Source organism: Homo sapiens, chromosome 3 (genome assembly GCF_000001405.40).
Source record: "Homo sapiens chromosome 3, GRCh38.p14 Primary Assembly".
NCBI classification, from domain to species: domain Eukaryota; kingdom Metazoa; phylum Chordata; class Mammalia; order Primates; family Hominidae; genus Homo; species Homo sapiens.
The window spans coordinates 25417077-25435856 of record NC_000003.12 but is presented as its reverse complement, the minus strand read 5'-3'; the positions used below and the strand labels follow the sequence as shown (position 1 = coordinate 25435856).

General features: G+C 39.7%; 1 protein-coding gene across 9 annotated transcripts in view, besides 2 other annotated features; it reads right to left on the bottom strand.

Moving 5' to 3' along the window:
• Positions 1–18780, bottom strand: part of RARB (retinoic acid receptor beta) — a 768612-nt gene that overhangs the window by 162076 nt on the left and 587756 nt on the right. For 5 of the 9 annotated variants that reach the window (NR_110893.2, NR_110892.2, NM_000965.5 and 2 more), the window contains exon 1: positions 6969–7594. The exons of 2 other annotated variants lie outside the window; for them this stretch is intronic. Coding sequence is in view for 3 of the 7 variants with exons in the window: in NM_000965.5 (NP_000956.2) it covers positions 6969–7125 (157 nt within the window). In the remaining 4 variants the exon portion in view is untranslated. Of the gene's footprint in view, positions 1–6968; positions 7595–18780 lie in introns of those variants that run through there. 2 more of the 9 variants (NM_016152.4, NM_001290266.2) reach the window with 1 other exon arrangement.
• Positions 7696–8533: an enhancer, noted in NCBI's record as "H3K27ac hESC enhancer chr3:25468815-25469652 (GRCh37/hg19 assembly coordinates)". NCBI's record gives its function as "activates a minimal SCP1, AML or CMV promoter by ChIP-STARR-seq in primed H9 embryonic stem cells {active_cell/tissue: H9 hESC(primed)}" and the evidence as "EXISTENCE:reporter gene assay evidence [ECO:0000049][PMID:30033119]".
• Positions 15029–15810: an enhancer, noted in NCBI's record as "OCT4-NANOG-H3K4me1 hESC enhancer chr3:25461538-25462319 (GRCh37/hg19 assembly coordinates)". NCBI's record gives its function as "activates a minimal SCP1, AML or CMV promoter by ChIP-STARR-seq in primed H9 embryonic stem cells {active_cell/tissue: H9 hESC(primed)}" and the evidence as "EXISTENCE:reporter gene assay evidence [ECO:0000049][PMID:30033119]".

Below are 18780 nucleotides of genomic sequence, written 5' to 3'. Positions count from 1 at the left end.
TGCAAAGCAACAGAGAAATGTTTCATCATTAAACTGTAACCAGTGCACTATGTGAAATCATCCATTCCAAAGACTTGTTTTTCATCAATTATTTGTTGTTTATCTGATGTAAATATAAAAAGGACTAATTAAAATATATGCCTTTTTATACAGCTTCTTGTCATTAAAGCCAATGAAAGCATTCTGAGGACCATAATGAAATAATTATGTTTGCCTTTAAGAATTCTCTTCAATAACACATGGCAGTACTGAGCTAAATTAAAACATCAGGAACTGAATTTCGCTGCCTCCATTTCCATTTTAGTTAATTAAACCCCCAAGCTTTCCAATAGACCAGCCCCTAAAAAAATCTTTTGAAGCTGAAATGGCCTTCAGATCATCGGCCTTTTTATAATTATGGACTTTGATGACATGACAAAGGTACTGTAGCCGTTGAAAGCTTTAATATTTTTGAGAAGACAAATTTATTACATGAGGTCTTCATTTGCTCTGGAAATGGGAAAAAAATTGGGATGTGATCCAGATCTTCTCTCCCTAGTTAACCGATGCACTCATCTTATTTGTTCTTTTACCTGCACATTATTTTGAATTTAGCTATTTTTTTGACTTGACAAAATTTTATTCTGTGATGAATAGTAATTTATCAACAACAACATAGCAAACATTCCACTAAATATGGGTCAAATTAGGACAGTGATTCTTTGTCAAACACTGAAACTTAAAAAATAAGAAGCTATCTTTAAGACAGCAGTGGACTGAGGAGAATCTGTGAATTTTAAGAAATAAAATCCTTCTGTTTGACTTTTCTCCTCCTCCAAATCTCAAATCAGATACTTTGGAAGGCAAAGAATAAAATAAAATGAAAATAAATCTGGGTTTAAGAGAAAGGGAAGAAGGAAAAAGGGGAGGAAAACTGCTAAGTGGTTTCAGGGCTGGTAGCAAATGAAATGGCTTTAGCAATGTTGTCATCTGATGCAGATGGGGATGGGAACTTTGTACTTTCAAAAGTAAATACAAGGCCGGGCTCGGTGGCTCACGCCTGTAATCTCAGCACTTTGGGAGGCCGAGGTGGGCAGATCACGAGGTCAGGAGATCGAGACCATCCTGGCCAACATAGTGAAACCCCATCTCTACTAAAAATACAAAAATTAGCCAGGTGTGGTGGCACACGCCTGTAGTCCCAGCTACTCAGGAGGCTGAGGCAGGAGAATCACTTGAATCTGGGAGGTGGAGGTTGCAGTGAGCTGAGATCACACCACTGCACTCCAGCCTGGGCAACAGGGCGAGACTCCATCTCAAAAAAAAAAAAAGAAAAAAAAAAAAAAAAGGAGTACCAAGGATTAACTCTGACAACGTGAAATCCCTCACGTTTTGTTCTATATGGAGAGTTGGCGAGGTTTGTGAGTGGATGATATTTGGTGATCGCTGGATAGACTGTCTAATGAGACATCAGCAGTGAATTGTTAACAGCTGGAACACAAATATCTATTCTATGACAATGTAAAATGACAATTATAATCTCAGAATCCACTTTTATTAAACGACTTTCTTCCTCCCAGTTTTTCTTTGTTCTCTTCAAAGAAATCTGCTTTTGGAAATCAGGGACATCATCACCCACTATCACCCCTGTAAAAATCAGCTTTCTTCTTTCTCCCTCCCCTGAGCTGGTTCAGTTCTTCAGCTGCTGGGGGAAGCCTAGAGACTCCTGGAATCCCTGAGCCCTGACTAGAGGAAATGCTTGGCCAGGTTGAGTCGCCTTGCTGACGTCAGTTCCTGTTATCCTCGCCTTATCGCGCAGGGGGCAGAGAGTCTTATCTTACTAAATGGTCCCCTTGTAGCTCCCCCACCCTACAGGGCCAGAGAAAGAGCAAGTCAGCAGTTCCATTGCCTGTTTGACTTCCCATCTAAGAAGCTCTGAAAGCTCAAGACAAAATGCCAGTAGACTTAGGCTCTCCTGCTTCCTAGGTAGAGAGAACTTTTGCAACTTTATTTTTCATTCATTTAAAGGGGTTTGGGGAGTGGGATGGGACAGAGATCATGCTTTTTAATGATGGGGTAAGGAAGCTGGGAATGAAAAGAGGAGAATTCAGAGCAACATATTGACTGATGAGGTTGTGTTATTAGATCTTACAGATGGGGCAGGTTATCTCATCTCCTATTTAACAAGAGGTACTTAGACCAAGCCACTTACAAGCAGGATACTGATAAATCTGAAACCTGAGTTAACTCTACTCTTCTCCCTCCATCACCCCAGCTCCAACTTTTTAAGAGGAAGCTGGCAAGGGCTGATACAGATTTGTTCATAACAATTTAATTTAATTCTACTCCCTCCTCCCCACCCTGTCCACGCACACACAGGTGCTAGAGTGAGAATCACAGCCCAGTCCATTTTGCAAGGAATGCCTTCTATTCACAGATCTATAGTTTGCTACGAAAGGAATTCATGTTCATAAGAATGACCCAGAAACACAAGGCGATCTTCAGACATAATGAAAAAATTAAGCTGTGAGAGCTCTACTTATATTGACTATAGAATCCAAACAAAGACTTTCTGTGCCACTCCTAGGAGATGTTGTAATATTAAATATCTGGCATATTTCAATGATTTATGTGGGAACTGTGCAGGATATTTGAAAGTGGGTTATTCTAGAAAATCAGAGATACATGATTGTCATAACTACCCTGTAATTTGAAAGGCAAGATTCTATCTACATTAATATCTTTGGAAAGGTTTTCAGCCAAGATTTTTCTGATTAACCTTCATCAAAAACTCCCATTTCTGAAATAATCTATTTAATTGATAGTTAACTGAATTTATATTAGAACATTTAAAGTATAAAAATGTCATTTAAGGATAAATGTATGGCACTTACACATAACTCAAACTGTATAGAAGATTCTAAGATGTTCTAAAATGAACATTGCATTTATTGTTAAAATCCTGTGTGACTTGAACAGAGTTTTGTATTTTGCATCTTGGTTTTTACATCTCCATCTTCTGCCCAAAGAGTAACTTAAAATTCTCAGCTTTTTCTAAATTACTGATTTAAAAAATTATAAATTCCTTGAGAGTAGAATTTATAATCTTTGTTATTTATCATGTATTTCCCTTCTCAGATAGAGTTTAATGATATCTGTGGAATGTGTAAAGGAGAAAACAGGTTTTCTTTCTTTTTCAGCCACCTCAGAGCTTAACATATGTCGAAGGTAAATTATAAACATCTGATATCCAGAAGAACTTTTTTTTATTCTTACGCTTTAGAGAAAAGTGCATAACAATACCCTCGGTTGTATATATCAGCGCCAGGCTTCTAGAAATGAGAAGGAAACTTCTGATTCAGGTCAGCTAGCCTATCAGAAATAGCCATTCTGGTCATTTATCTATTAAGGAAAAAAGACCTGCTTCAATGCAAGGGCTTTACATTATTGGCTGGCAAATCAAATTCTAACTAAAGCTTCCAAGTCAATTCCATAGCTTAAGTTTAGGCAAACAGATGTCTACCTTTCTACTGTTTAGTTTTTTGAATCCATCCTTTTCTGGCAATAAAATTTAAACACATGCTTTTTCTTTTCTAAGTTGCACATCAATACTCACTCCCTTGTCAAATGTACCAATTTATCCAATATTCACAATATGATTTCTTTTTTTCTACAAGGAAGGAAAACTTTGTGAATCTTTCACTTGTTTTCGAACAACCCACAACCCTGCCTGTACTCTCTTTGCGATTTAAGGAAAAGTCCCTCTTTTTCTCTTCTTTCTGATGGTATTAGTTACCACCGTCATGTGCCCGAGAAGCAGAAAATTATGTCCTACTTTAGAAAAACAATTGGGCCTTTTCACTGAAATATTTATTCAAAACCCCATTCAATTCATACGGTGGCTGTCAGTCTTTATTTAGTCTTTCTTTCAGAGGGTATCTTTGATTTTGCCACTTTGACCCCAATTTATATCTCACTAGGAGAGGATTTAGATACTGTTTAATACTTAAAATTTGGGTCCCAGGGCTTTGAAAAGAGGCCTTTTCTCATTCCCTAATCAAACATCACTACTGGTTGTTTTAAAAATAATTTCTTCTCATTAATGGGCAAAGTCCTATTTCAAAAAGAAAATATTTTTTTCTTTTTCCTTTTGATGTGTTGAGTAGGGAGAAAAGACAGGGAAAAAGGCCAAGAAGTTGTCACACTCGTTATTTCACCAAAGCAACTATATTTAGACCACAAAATATTAAGATTTATCCTATACCCACTGAGCAATTAATGTTGAAAACATCTGGAGCCGCCTAAAACCAAGATAATCCTGGAGACATCTGAACAGAAATTTAGTGACTCCTATACCTTCCAGGGGCAGTCGTCAATCGTAATATTTAGACCACATTCCCTTAGTAGTCCCCTAATCCTGACTTTGAATGCTTATAAGAAGCAATTCACAGACACTACTACAAATGGCAGCTGGCTGGCATATCATTTTTCTGCCTTTAAAATTAAAAAGAAAATAAAGGGAATATTTTAACACCTTTCAAAGTGAGCTTGTGATGGTGTGCTCCATGTTCAAAGGTCTTACTTTATTTACTATGCATACACACACACACCATAAAAAAAACTCAAAGCAGAAAATAGTTTTGGTTGGAATTTAGTACTTTTTCTTCTTTGCCCACTGTTTCCTCTGTGTTAAAAGCAAAAACAGATCTGCTTCTCGTCAAAATAGCCATTAAGTAAAATGGAAAAGGTTGTGGTTATGTTCTTACTTACACAAATGTAGCCCTAATATACTTTTATTTCAATAGCCCTAACTAGCTGTACCACCCTGAACCAAACACTGCATGGCACAAGACATTTGTTAGAATCTCTAAAAAAAAAAAAAAAAAAAAGTTTTAGTTTTATTTATGCTAAAAAAAAAAAAAAATCGTTGGAACAACTGACCATCATAAAGTGGTTTATGAGGGTAAAGCAACTCTGCAAGGGCACAAGCAATATTTACATTTTATTCATTTAACCTAAAGTTGGGGTGTGGGATTCAAACTCTTGTGAAACTGACCACAATAAGAACTAATTGCCCTGCTTACAAAAATAAGACACTGGAATTTCTGAAATCCCTTTGTCAAATGCCTTTATTTACTTTGTCTAATGCAAGTTTCTTTGATTAGCTAAACTTTGCTGTTATCAACACTTCTTGCTTATCGGGTAGTTTTAGGCGAATGACACATTCACCGCTCGCTCTCCCTAGATAAAGCAAATCCCTTGTTTAACTTGTCCAAGAACAAACAAAGCTTTTCCCCCTACTCTTACAACTTAATAGGCATCTTTGGAAGGTTAATTACAAAAGGAAGAATGTCTACATGTAAAAACTCTATTAGGTCTAATAACTTTTGGCGAGGATCCTGAGCATATTTTTTCCTTCTGTTAAAAAACATGTTTCATTACCACTTTCTCTAACAAGAAAAAGTTTCAGAGAGCCCCAGTTCCCTGGGATTCCAACAGAAATTGTTCATACTGTTTTAATTGCTACAAAGAGGACAGGTCTGAAAAGTCTCTTCTTGGATTAGAAAATTATTTTGTAACACTCCAGTTTCTTTGAGTTCTCCAGAAATAAAATGGGCACCAAAAAAGAAAAGGCATTTGGGGAGCAGCTGAAGATTAAGGCGCCTTCTGAAAACGATATTCTTTTTGCCCTGCTTATGGCTCTACAAAATGTTAAGTCAGACAGCCAGGCTGTTGGCATCAAATGGTTATTGATTTTTCAGCTACAAACCTGTTGATTTCCCGGCCCAAGAAGCAAGTCTTTATTCTTAAGAAAAAGTTTCAGAGAGGGCAATTTAAATCCTGTCATTGTCCCCTCTCCCCTTTTTCTTCTCTCTTTAGATAAGCCACCATGTTATTAGGAAAACTCAATTTCTTCCAGTTAAACTTTGACCTCTTTGAAAACAAAGATTTAAAATGTCATTTTCAGGCTAATGCTCCAATGAATTGTCAAATAAAGTACTAAAAACATTTTGATAGATAGCTGAGCCATTTATCTAAATCACTGTCAGGGCGGCGAAGCATCCTGCAGGCTCCCACTACAGCCACCCGAAGGTGGGATTTTCTGGGACTCCTGATCATTTCTCAAGCCTGCAGCCAGGCTACTGTTGACCAGGTGCGTACCTCGGCACTGTGTCAGCATCAGATAACAAAATAGTCAATATTTTTTTTTTAAATTGGGCTACCCCACTTATATTTCCTTTCCTTTAACTGATGTCCACGTTCCGGGCTGAACTGCAAGATATGGAAATAATGGATGGCTCAGTCCAAGGGGTGTTCATTGCCAGTAGTTTTCTAGCAAAACAGCAACTTCTTAGACCAACAAAGTGACTTGGAAAGGTGGCAGCAGGGTCAATGCTAAGAAATATTGCCTTTCCTTAGCAAGGAAAACATTGGAAGCGGCAGCTTGAACTGGTGGTTTATGAACTTCGGGAGCAGCAGCCACCTTAATTAAACTAAATTCCTTTCAAGGAAAATGTCATATTTTAATTACTTTGGACTGTTGGAATACACAAGGGGTGGGGGGACCTATACAACTAGTAGCTAATCCAAAGAACAGCAAAGTTAAATTCCACTCTGCATACATTTTAGTAAAAACTGCAAAATGTGTCAAATTGCCCTACTTGAAGAATGTTTTAAAGTCTTGTGGTCACCCTCTACTCCCCACCCCCCACATTTTTATGCATATTTTAAAAACTGTTTTCAAGAGACTATAAGGTTGGTAAGGAGAGGAGCATGGGGGCGGGAGGGGTTATTTGGGAAGAAAACATCTAACAGGAAATTTTCAGCAAAGGGAATCAATATGCATGCCAGCATATCACACCCCTTCAGCATTAAATCATTAAATCCTTTGTCTTGCTACCAATGCAGTTTATTTCCAACGTCTTTATTGCATGCAAGAGAGACAATTTTTTTTTTCTTGGTAGAAGAAGGGAAAAAAATAAACCTACATTGAGCAGTGTGCCGATGCTGCCATTCGGTTTGGGTCAATCCACTGAAGCATGCTTTGAGAGCTTTCTCCTGGAGCATGCAGGAAGACGGACTCGCAGTGTAGAAATCCAGGATTTGCCCAGGACTCACTGACAGAACATCCATACAGTCAAACATGATCTCCCTTGCACTGAATGTCTGCAAAAGTGCTTATCCTCTAGGTGTGGAGGCAAATGGCATAGAAAAGTCCACCCAACTCCATCAAACTCTGCCCCTTTTTTGGCACGTAGGCTGTTGGTCTTTTTCCCAGCCCCGAATCATGAATTATGACAGACAAGCCAGCTAAAAGCCTGTAATTGATCCAAATGATCATTTACCATTTTCCAGGCTTGCTCGGCCAATCCAGCCGGGGCGGGGGGTTCCCAGAAAGATCCCAAGTTCTCCTTCCAAGTAAATGCTTGCAAAAAGCCTTCCGAATGCGTTCCGGATCCTACCCCGACGGTGCCCAGACAAACCCTGCTCGGATCGCTCGCGTTCTCGGCATCCCAGTCCTCAAACAGCTCGCATGGGGGAATTCTGGTCCCCCCTTTGGCAAAGAATAGACCCTCCTGCCTCTGAACAGCTCACTTCCTACTACTTCTGTCACACAGAATGAAAGATTGAATTGCCTAATATATGCGAGTGAACTTTCGGTGAACCCTACCCGGGCTGCTAACCTTCAAATGACCCAACTAGTCTGACATCACCAACTCCCAGGATTCTCACAGAGCTTAAAAACTCCCAGCAGCCCTGCAAAAGCAGACAGCCAGAGAGGCAGGCAGCGAGCGCACAAGCCGGCGTTTTCTTTCCTATTTCTCACCTTAAAAACAATACAAGAAGTGCTTTTAAAATGAGCAGGGGAGGAGCCGGGACGCTGCTCCTGGCTCACGTTGAGCACCAACTTCTCTCCCTTTACGCCTTTTTATTTGCGGCGGCTTAGCTTGGAAAACGGTGTTCCGCCTGCGCCCGCTCGCCTCCCGCCCACCGCCTCGCCCCCCAGCCCACACTTTAAATTCCTCTGTGCGCCTTTCTGTCTGTTAAATTCCTTATAACTTATGTATTTTTCCACTCCAGAAAAAGCACATGCAAGCCCTAAACTGTAGAACAGAGAATGGCTACCCCTTGGGAAAGGCTTGGGTTGGGAAACTTTCCATTCCACAGTCTTTTTCTCTTTCTCCCTCTTGCAAGCCCCTGGCTGAATTGACTGCACTCGTTTGCTCTGCAATCCAGCTTTCGAGATTCATTTACTTTGAAAAATCCTCTCCAGGTTCTATGCAGCATATAGAGTAGTCAGGAATTGGTTACCCCTGTCCCAAACACACAGCCACACAGAAAATGAGATTTCAGATCTGGACTTGAAAAAACAGTATAGTGGTCAAGAGCATGGGTTGGGGAATCAAACTGAACTAGATTCCAATTCCAGGTCTGCCACTTACCAGCTGTGTGTTCTGGGATAAGTATTTAACTTCTTCAGGCTTCAGTTTCCTCATCTGTAAAATGGGCATATAATACTACCCACGTCAGTGTTAACTGGGAGGACAGAAATAACACTTGTATGGTGCTGGGTAAATATCATGGAACAAATGTTAGCTGTGACTCATCCTCATACTGTTCAACTGGTGAAACAAAACCCCGGGGAGATGAGACCTACCCAAGGTCACACAGCTCAGAGCTGTGACTAGAACCCAGCTCCCTAGGATGAAAGTCCAATGTGAAAATTACTTGCCTGTTCCCACATCCTTGCACCCCAAATAGCCATGTTGGTTGCCTCTCTCATCATACACCTACACACATCCCACCACATAATTAAACGCATATTTTGTAAACTGGTTTAAGTATGACAGTTTTACATTTTGAAGGACCAGTTTTCTCTCATTCCAGCCCCTGCCCAATCCTTTTATTAAAATACAGTAATTTTAAGGGAAAATGATTTTTTAGATCTCTCACACTGACCCAACCTACAGGAAGAAGAGTCTTTCCAGCCAGTCCTAAAACACTAAGAAGGATAGATGCAGTATTTACAAATAAACCCAGCCGGATGGAGAGCTTTAAAAGGGAGAGCCAATCTACCCTGCAGCCATTTTGCACAACTTGTTTAAAGGATGCAACATACATCAAATAAAGGAAACTCTGGAGAGGAATTAAAACACCCTTTTTTCTCCACTGCCTCTGTAGCATTTACTTGTAATTCTCCCACAAAACAGGGCAGGCAAGTGGTTAGGCAGGGAGGGAGAGTCTCCTTGCCCAATGCAGGGAAGAGCACTGCTCCAGTCTCCTTTTTGTGGATAGTGTTGGAATGTGCATTGGCATCCGGGCCTTTTAAAAGCCTGTCAGGGGGCACCCCACCCCATGCTGAAACACTGCCCTGTCTAGTGGAGTTGCTAAGTGGCACTTGTGGTGTAACATGAAAAGTATGCATCGCACACACTTACCAAGTCAAAGATCCTTTTATGAAGGTACATTAAAACAATTTTCAGCCCAGCAAGCTCAGTTCTTGCTATTGAAAAGTTCAGGGCAATAAAGGGGTGAGATTTTTGCTGAATCTGTGTTTGTTATTTTTGCGCCTCTCTTCTCTCTTTTATATGGCCATCATTTTGTAACAGAGACTTATTGTAAGAAACCCTTTAACTACAAAGAAAACACACATTTTAAGCAAGAGAACACAGAGGAATTTACAAAACATTTAACACACTGTCATTAAGGTAGTTGTAAAGATACACAAAGCACTACATTATGTGCCAATTTCTACTTGGTCCATGAGGCTTATGGCTCCAAATGCTTATTTAAGGTCCTTAGAGTTCCTTGGAAACTGAGTTCATTTTTACCGGACAGTGGAGGTGGATGAAAAGTTGTTAGACAAGAGAAGAGGAAACAGCTATATTGGAAGTAGAGCAGGAGAAACTTAAGTTAGAGATGAGAAACATGGCATCACTGACAGGTATGTGTGTACAGGGATCTGTTATCCAGGGGAGGCTGCTGCACATTCTTGCTTAACATCTCTCCAAAGAGTAGAGATGCACTGGTCCCAGGGAAGTGAAGATGGGGATGGGTGTCCTCAAAATTCTGTTCATTCTCATTTCTTAAGCTATGGAATCAGCCTCATTGAGCGAGACCACTGCTTCCGAATTTCTTACCTCTATACTGTATCATTGCACAAAAATAACAACATTAGTGTGTCTCTCTCTGTGTGTGGTAAAGGTTGGGCGACTCGATGTTTTCTTTCTTTGTGCAAGAAAATGTAAAATATATAATTACCTTGAAGTTCTCAACTGAGAAATGAACTTGGGCCTTGAAATGAATAATCAGTATTTAAATCCCCATGAAAGGAATAGTATGGGTTTCTTATAATATGACAATATTCGCTAGTCAATTAATCATTCCTCATCATGAATTAATTATGCTGATAGCAATAATTAGAGCTATTACTTAATCCAAGTATTAATTTATAAAACAGACCCATGATTTAGCCACATGCTAATTATTTCTTCATCAGTAAATGCTTACACTTCTTGAAAACTTGATTCTGTCTCCAAATTCTTCATTTTAAGTAAAATGAAGGAAAGATACATAAATAAGCCATAATTCTTTAAATACAGATCCGTGCACTATAAAGATTAATGAGTAGGGTAGAAAGTGAAAAATAGACCGATTTGTCCGTAATGAAATGTAAACTACTGACACCCATTTTAAACATTAGCCACAGGGTTGGAAGAAACTTTCCCAAATATCTTCTTGTTATGGCATAAAATAACATTCTGATATGTGTCATCTCTATTTTCTTTGTGTTTGATCAATGATCTAATAAATGTATTTCCAACCAACAAGCAAACAAAAAGTGAAAAACAAAAAGCAAAACTTTGAGAGTAAAATCCATTTTGTTTCAGAGTAACTGTATATTTGTCAGTGTGACACAGCACATTTGAAACCCATAATCATAAAACAAAAATTTATAGCCAGGGTTCAGGGTCTACATCTGTTTCTCTGGTTTTCGTACAGCAATTACCCACTGGACAATCCAGAAAGAAACACCATGAATCATGCTCTGCAAACATGTTTGAACTGGAGAGTTTTCTGAAGAAAGAGCAGTCGTGTCTGTGCACCGTACTGCAGCCGGCTGTGTTCAAAATTGGGCTAATACCTTGTGATGTCTAAATAAGAAGATTTTCAGAGGCGCAGACATATCCCCCCCCACCACAGGGGCAGACATGCAAAGTGCAGGCAGACACAGGCACAGGGCTGGGGGAGGTGGACACTGATTGTTTTAAAGACATGCCCAGCTCTTTCATGTTGTTTTGGCTTTTTGTTTGTTTTTTAATTTTTTTTCCCTGTTAATCCCCTCTTGCCACAGTTCTGCCAGAAGAATAAATGGCTAGTACTGAGTGACTTGTGTGTTCCAGCAGGGAAGCCAAGGCAGAGATGTTGGCAGCACGAGGCAAGTATGAGGCTCTTCCCAGGGCTTCCATACTAGCAGGCAGAGCTGCTTTTGTGTTGGAAGGGAGCGGGGGAAGTTCTAACAGTAATAACACATGGAAACTTTGCTTGTGGCCCTTCAGTATGAACACCTGCTCACATAACAGGACTGTTGATGTTCGTGGATCTTATACCAAAAGACACCAATGCACTTTCCAAATGAACTTGCAAGGTGGCTCTGGGCATGAGTATAGCGACTTCTTAGAAACCCTAGAAACACATCTTCTTCAAAAATGTCTTTTTACTTTGAGTGTTGGCCACCGTGTCCTTCATTTGGCTCTTTTCTCTTCAGCTCTCTGCTTTTTCAGACTTTCCTCCACAAAGTCTTCCTACTTGGTTACACACAAATATTGTTCTCCCAAGACAAGGGCATACTTTTCTCTTTCCACATTTCTGAATTATTTTCTTTAGTGCTTCTGTGCTTTCTGCCGTCGATGACTCATAAAGACAGCTCTTCAAGCCCAACAGTTTCGGTTGGTTCCAACTTGAAAGTTAAATACAACCCCTGCTGAATGCCTCAGTACTGAGCAGTGAGCTGCGAACCATCTCTTAGCTGACTGTCACTGCTGGTGGCATTGTCTCAACATTAGTTTTGGGGAGACCTATCTTTGGCTATTTCATCTTGTTTACATTTCCTTTTTTAAATCTAGATCTTTACTCTTTCTTTTCCTTTTTAAAATTTTATTTTCACATTTTCCATCACTCCCTATAAATCTAGATTTAAGTAATACATGCTCATAAAAATTCAAAGTCTTGTCCAAAAGATATAAAGTGAAAAGTAAAAGTCCTCTACATGTATTCATTAAATGTTGAATACCTACCATGTGCCAGGCATCTTAACTGGTGCTTGGCATAGATCTGTATATTTTTTTGGGATTGTGTGGGGGGGTGCTGTTTGTTGCTATTATACCAGTATGGTCTTATGATACATATTGCTCTGCAACACTTTTAAATTTAGCAATATTTCTTGAACATCCCTTCAAAATAAATAATACATATAGAACTACCTCATTTAAAAAATAAGTTAGAATCTCTGTACATCAATGCACTGCATTTCATTTAACCAATGGCCAGCTGTTAAGACATTTAGGTTGTTTCTACTTTTTTAGTACTATTAGGTTAGTGCAAAGAAGCCCTGTGGGCATGTGCACCAATACGTCTGCTGGATAAAATTCTAGTAGCGGTGTTACCAGAACAAGGATTATGAGCATCTTAAAATTTGATGGACGCACAAAATTGTACTCCAAAGCAGTTATGTGAATATATGTTACCTTTTTGTTCTAAAACCGGGGTCAGCAAACATTTTCTGTACGGGGCCACTGGAAATATTTTAGGCTTTGCAGGCTATACAGTCTCTGTTGCAACTGCTCAACTATGCCACTGTAGTATAAAGGAGCCACAGACTATATAATAAATTAATGGGCATGGATGTACTTAATAAAACTTAATTTACAAAAACTGATAGTGGACTAGGTTTTGCTCATGGGCTGTAGTTTGTCCACCTCTGTTCTAAACCAACATTTAACAATTTCACAGAATTCTACATTGCCTTGTCTGTATCCTTATAAAACCTAGCTATATACATTTGGGTTTTGTTAACACTTTACTTTTCCTTCCCTTTTAAAAGCTTAATTCAGTTTCAACTTGTGTATCTCATGAAGAATAATAGGGCTTTTTATTATATTATTCATCTAGAATGCATTATATTACTTCATCCAGAATCATCTTTCTTTCTCTCTTGGCTGGTAATTTCTCACTTTTCTACCTTATTGTCTTCATTTCCTTCCATAAGAAGGAGTTTTGGGTAACATCTCTGCCTTCAAAATGTGTGCAGATACCCCTGTTCTTCCACTATTAAACCCTGCTTTAAAGTGCATTATTTCCACGAACACCCCACCTCAGTCCCATATATGATGGCAACATTTGAGAGATGGAAAATGTAATGGTGACTCCTGAGAATAAATGCCAATGGCACTACCATGCTGCAGCTTGCCTGTGACTTCCCTATGCTATTCCACGTGAATTTTGTCTCATCTCAATACATCTTCCAATAAGCTAAGATTAGATGTGCCACTTAGTTGACAGAGTGCTTAGAAGAACAGCTAGACTCTTTTCAAGGATGGAAGGAAGCACAAAGGATTCTAAGAGTGCTTTGCAATTATTTCGTGTTAATATTATTAATAAAGGATAATGTCTACAACTGAGATGCCTGCCTTAATTCCTAGTTCAGCACTTCATTTTTTGAGATCATATGTATGAACAGAAACTGTTAGTCGGCTTTTAAACTCTGCTGTTTAAACTAATTAAAATTAAACAATTAAAAATGAGTTCTCAGTCACATTAACCATATTTCAAGGGTGCAACAGCCTCATATGACTGGTGGCTTTCACATTAATAGGACAGTGCAGACATAGAATGTTTCCATCATTGCAGAAAGCTCTATTGCAGCATAGTGCTCTCAAAGGTCAGCTTAATGATTAGAGAGGCAGTGTAACATGGTAGGTGGGGCCACAGAGTTTAGACACTACCTGTGTTTAAACCCCAGCTTTGCTTCTTACTAGCTGTCTGGCTAGGCAAAGTTACTTAACTTCTATATTCTCTCACCTGCAAAATGTAAATATTAATGGTACCTACGTCAAAGAGTTGTGGTAAAGATTAAATGAGGTAATACAAGTACTTAGGAAATGTCAGTGCAAGGCCGTGCACAGTGGCTCACGCCTGTAATCCCAGTACTCTGGGAGGCCGAGGCAGGAGGATCACCAGGTCAGGAGATTGAGACCATCACAGTGAAACCCAGTCTCTACTAAAAATACAAAAAAAATTAGCCGGGCATGGTGGCACGCACCTGTAATCCCAGCTACGCGGGAGGCTAAGGCAGAAGAATTGCTTGAACCTGGGAGGTGGAAGTTGCAGTGAGCCGAGATTGCACCACTGCACTCCAGCCTAGACAACACAGCAAGACTGTCTCAAAAAAAAAAAAAAAAAAAAAAAAAAAAGAAAAGAAGAAAAAATGTTAGTGCAATGTCTGCAAGGACAAAATGAAGTCCGATACATATTGCTCAATACCACTCAAATACTACCTGTACCAGAGAATCTTCTGTCAGAGTAGTCATTTTCAACCAGAATGCACATTTCAGGCTGCAGGTGGAGGGGGTAGGGGCTGCAAATATGTAATTAGGGCAAGTTCTCTAAGAGAATTTGCTGCATATACCTAGTTAAGTACTACCACACTGAAGCATTTTTATATTTATATATACTATAAAGGAAGATGGTTTCTTTCATTTCACAAAGCACACACTGAGTCAGAATGACCATGAAATAATTGGCAAGCCCCACCCTGCTGCCCCTGTGGAAGACAGGAAATAGATCATAATAGATCATATGACTCTGTTTTTTTTTTTTTTTTTTGGCATAAGTGGTGTTGAGCCTCAGCACCTTAGGGCTGATTATAAATTAATTAAATGGCAAAGGTATTGCATAAGATGGAAGACTTGCATTATTAATCTATCTTGTGTTATCATCTGTTATCTTTCCATCCATCCATCCATCCATTCACCTACCCGTTCTTCTACCTGATATCCACCCATCCCTCCATTTACTCATCCATCCACCAATCCATCCACCCTTCTAGTTATCCACACATCCACTTGCTCATATACCCATCTACCTATCCACCCATCCATTCACTCTCTGATCCATCATCTACCCATGACCTAAACCCCCAAAGGTGATGAAGCAGAGTATGGCTTTTTGCAGACAATATATAAGGCAGTGAGAGGGACAAAAGTAAAACTTCTCAGATCATGCATGTATCTTTCTCTAGAATCCTTGAAAAGAATTTTCTGATGAAATGTGCTGGCAGAAATAAGGTCAAAGGCATTGGCCACTGGAGATTTCAGTTAAACAGGTTTGATAAATCAGGTTGTGGCTGGAGAGAGCCCCTTAGATCTAACTCTGATCTTTAAGAGCATCCCAGGATTTGAAATGCTAATGAAGCCAAGTTCTATTAGCAACACAAAAGTTTCTGACTCTGAGGGAAAGCTAAAAGCCCAAAGGAATTTCCTTCAGATTCTACAGGGAAAGGGAATGTAAAAAGTACAAACACATCAGAGGGGCAGTTGGAGAGGGAATGGAATTTAAATTCATCCTAGTGTCTGACAGAGAAAAAGGCAAATAAAAAGCTCAATGTGATTGAGTGGGAATTGTCAGGGTAACATAAAGCCAGATAGAAATCCCTGTGAAATTTCTGTTGGAGAAACAAAGATATGCATAAAAGCACATTATACACACACACGCGCGCACACACACACAGGTAATGTGAATACAATGTTAAGTATTTTTGGTTAAAAAAATAGTTTTTCTCTCTTCTTTCAAACATCAGGGTATAAACCCACCTTCTCAACATCTAGTCAACCAAGAGCTTCGAAAGCTTCTCTTAGAGAAGATATCATGGTGGCTTCCAAAATTAGTTTTTTGCATTTTGTTATTGTTTACTTGATGAAGTTACAGTTGCTTCAAAAAAAGATAAGCAAAGATAATTCAGAAGGCAACAGTTTCAAAATGTAAGGTAACACATAAGCATGGGAGGTAAAGAAAGGGAAAGAATAGACAGAAATATCAAATACTTTCCCTCTGTTTAAGCAAAATGCAATGCTAAAATGTAGGATCTGCTGCAGTGATTCCCAAGGCATGGTGCTTCCAGGGCTTCACACCCAGAGCTACCTCACACAAATTTCTGGGGTTGGGGGTCTATTCAGGTGCATTTAAATCAAGGTCCTCGGGTTTTCATTCTGCACACTACACTGTCAGACTCTCTGTGCTGATGGGACATTCCACTTGGTGAACACAAAGGCACCAGAGAACCTTTAGAGAACTTGGTATGACAGATACTCTCTCCTTTGACCAAAGCTTTAGTCAGGCTCCTCTCATTCCTCTGCTTGAGGAGGCCCAAGTTTGGGCTTCCTGTCTAACTTTGCAGAATCCAGTGTGAGCCAGAATCCTGCTAAGGCAGCTTAGGGAAAATCCCTCACTCTTGGTAGTGATAGGAATCAGAACATGCTACCCCAAAATATGGCACTTTGGCATTTGAGTAAACAGTAGAACAGGGAGGTCACTCTGAGTTTCCCCTTGCCCTTCTCCCCTGAAGCAGGTCATCAGACCCTCATGTCAGAGATGCCCTCCCTGTATACATAAGAAAGGAACATCGTTGTCTCGGAAGACACAGGGACACAGAGCACCACCTAAATAGATAGGCCTTGCTAAATTCCCCCCAGCTTATTACTATTAGATTATGCTCCTTTGGCCAATCATACTTCTGCAGGACTGCTCACTCTTCATTAAACTTAGCAAAAAAAATACACAGGCTTACCTATTTCTTTGGGTCTTCATTTCTACGGGCTCTTGTGTCACATAAAACTTACATTAAATCAATTTTTATATGCCTTTTTTTTTTTTTGGTTAGTCTGTCTTTTGTTATTGTGGCCTCAGCCATGAACCTAGGGATGGGAAAGAAATATATTTCTCATTCCCTATAGTAACTGACCACCCCTGTTATCTTATCACCCTAACTTGCCTTCAGAAATAATCCTTTCTGAGTCAGTTTGGCCAGAAATTCCTTATGCTTGATGTTTTCTCTTAGGGATTTTCCATCCACTGACCCCATCCTTCTCTTCGGTTATGAATCCCTACTTGTCCTCAGTGGAGTGAGAGTTAGTCCAATCTCTCTTCTCCTATAGCTGTTGTCATGGTCCCCCCTTACCACCTTTAACAAGTGTCATTTTTTTTTTTCTTTCACACCTGTTGAGATGGACAAGTTACAGAGGCTAGAAATGGTAGACCTCTGAGACTGGAGTGAAGAAGCCCTGGATTCAAGTCTTGGCTCTATATTTATCTGCTGGGTCGGGTTAGGTAAATTCATAATCCTTCTGAGTCTCATTTATTCTTTTCATTTGCAATTGTAGGTAAGGTCTACTTCAAAATAACATCTACTTCAATGGAAGACAATGTTGGAGAATTAAATGCAATAATTTATGAGAAAGATTTTTATAAATTCTCTGGTACCATGTAATGTTTGGCATTAGTATTCACACATTCGATAGAAATAGACAAAAAAAATTATATTTTTACCTCTTTCTACTACTCTGTGGCAAACTTAATTCCAGGACCCTTCTCCCAAATCCATTCTCTCTATTTCCCCTACAATAGGTTTCTAGCTGAGCATATCGCCATCCAGATAGACACCATATTTCCCAGCCTCCTTCGCAGCTAGGTGTGGCCATGTTCTCATCAACACAATGTGATCACAAGTGTTGTGTGCAAATTCAATGTCACTTCCTTAATTTCCCACCTTCCACTTGCTATCTTGCCCCTTCCCTACCAAGTGGAATACTGCAGAACTCTACATAAACCAGAGAGGAGGACAGCAACCCAGAGGGAGGCAAGGCCACAAGATGGAAAGAACCTGGCTCCCTGAATGTCCATGTGGAGTACTGGCTGTCGTGCCAGCCTGGAGCATTTACCTCTAGACTATTATGTGAGAGAGATGTACACTTCTATCTTATTTATGCCGTCATTTTTTGGGTCTCTTTTAAAAGTCAAGTTTAGTCTATTTCAAATTAATCAACTCTCTAATTTGTTTAAAATTTAAAAGAAGAAGAAAGATAGTATTTCTCTTGTACTTTCCCAGGCTGTATTAGTCTATTTTCATGCTGCTGATAAAGACATACCTGAGACTGGGCAATTTACAAAAGAGAGAGATTTAACGGACTCACAGTTCCATGAGGCTGGGGAGGCCTCATAATCATGGTGGAAGGTGAAAGGCACATCTCACATGGTGGCAGACAAGAGAAGAGAGCTTGTGCAGGGAAACTCCCATTTTTAAAACCATTGGATTTTGTGAGACTTATTCACTATCAGGAGAACAGCACAGGAAAGATCTGCCCCCATGTCCCTTGGGGGGAGTCAGTTACCTCCCACCAGGTCCCTCCCGCCATGTGTGGGAATTCAAGATGAGATCTGGGTAGGGACACAGCCAAACCATATCACTGACCTACTTTTCTTCCTTAGTTGGGCCAGGTTATTCTCTCCTTTCTTGCTGGGAGGACTGGTCAGTGGCAGGGAACATTAGGAAATTAGGGAACAGCTAATTTCCATTCTCACACACTTCAGATTCAGAGACAGGCAGCAGTTTTTTTTTTTTTTTAATTGGTTTTTCGATGTGGCATTAACAGAATGTAGCAAAACTTTATAGAAACTTTTACCCCTAATTCTGAACATTACCAGCGGCTTCTAAGGAAAGGCTCAGTTCCAGGCTTAGGCTTGTTC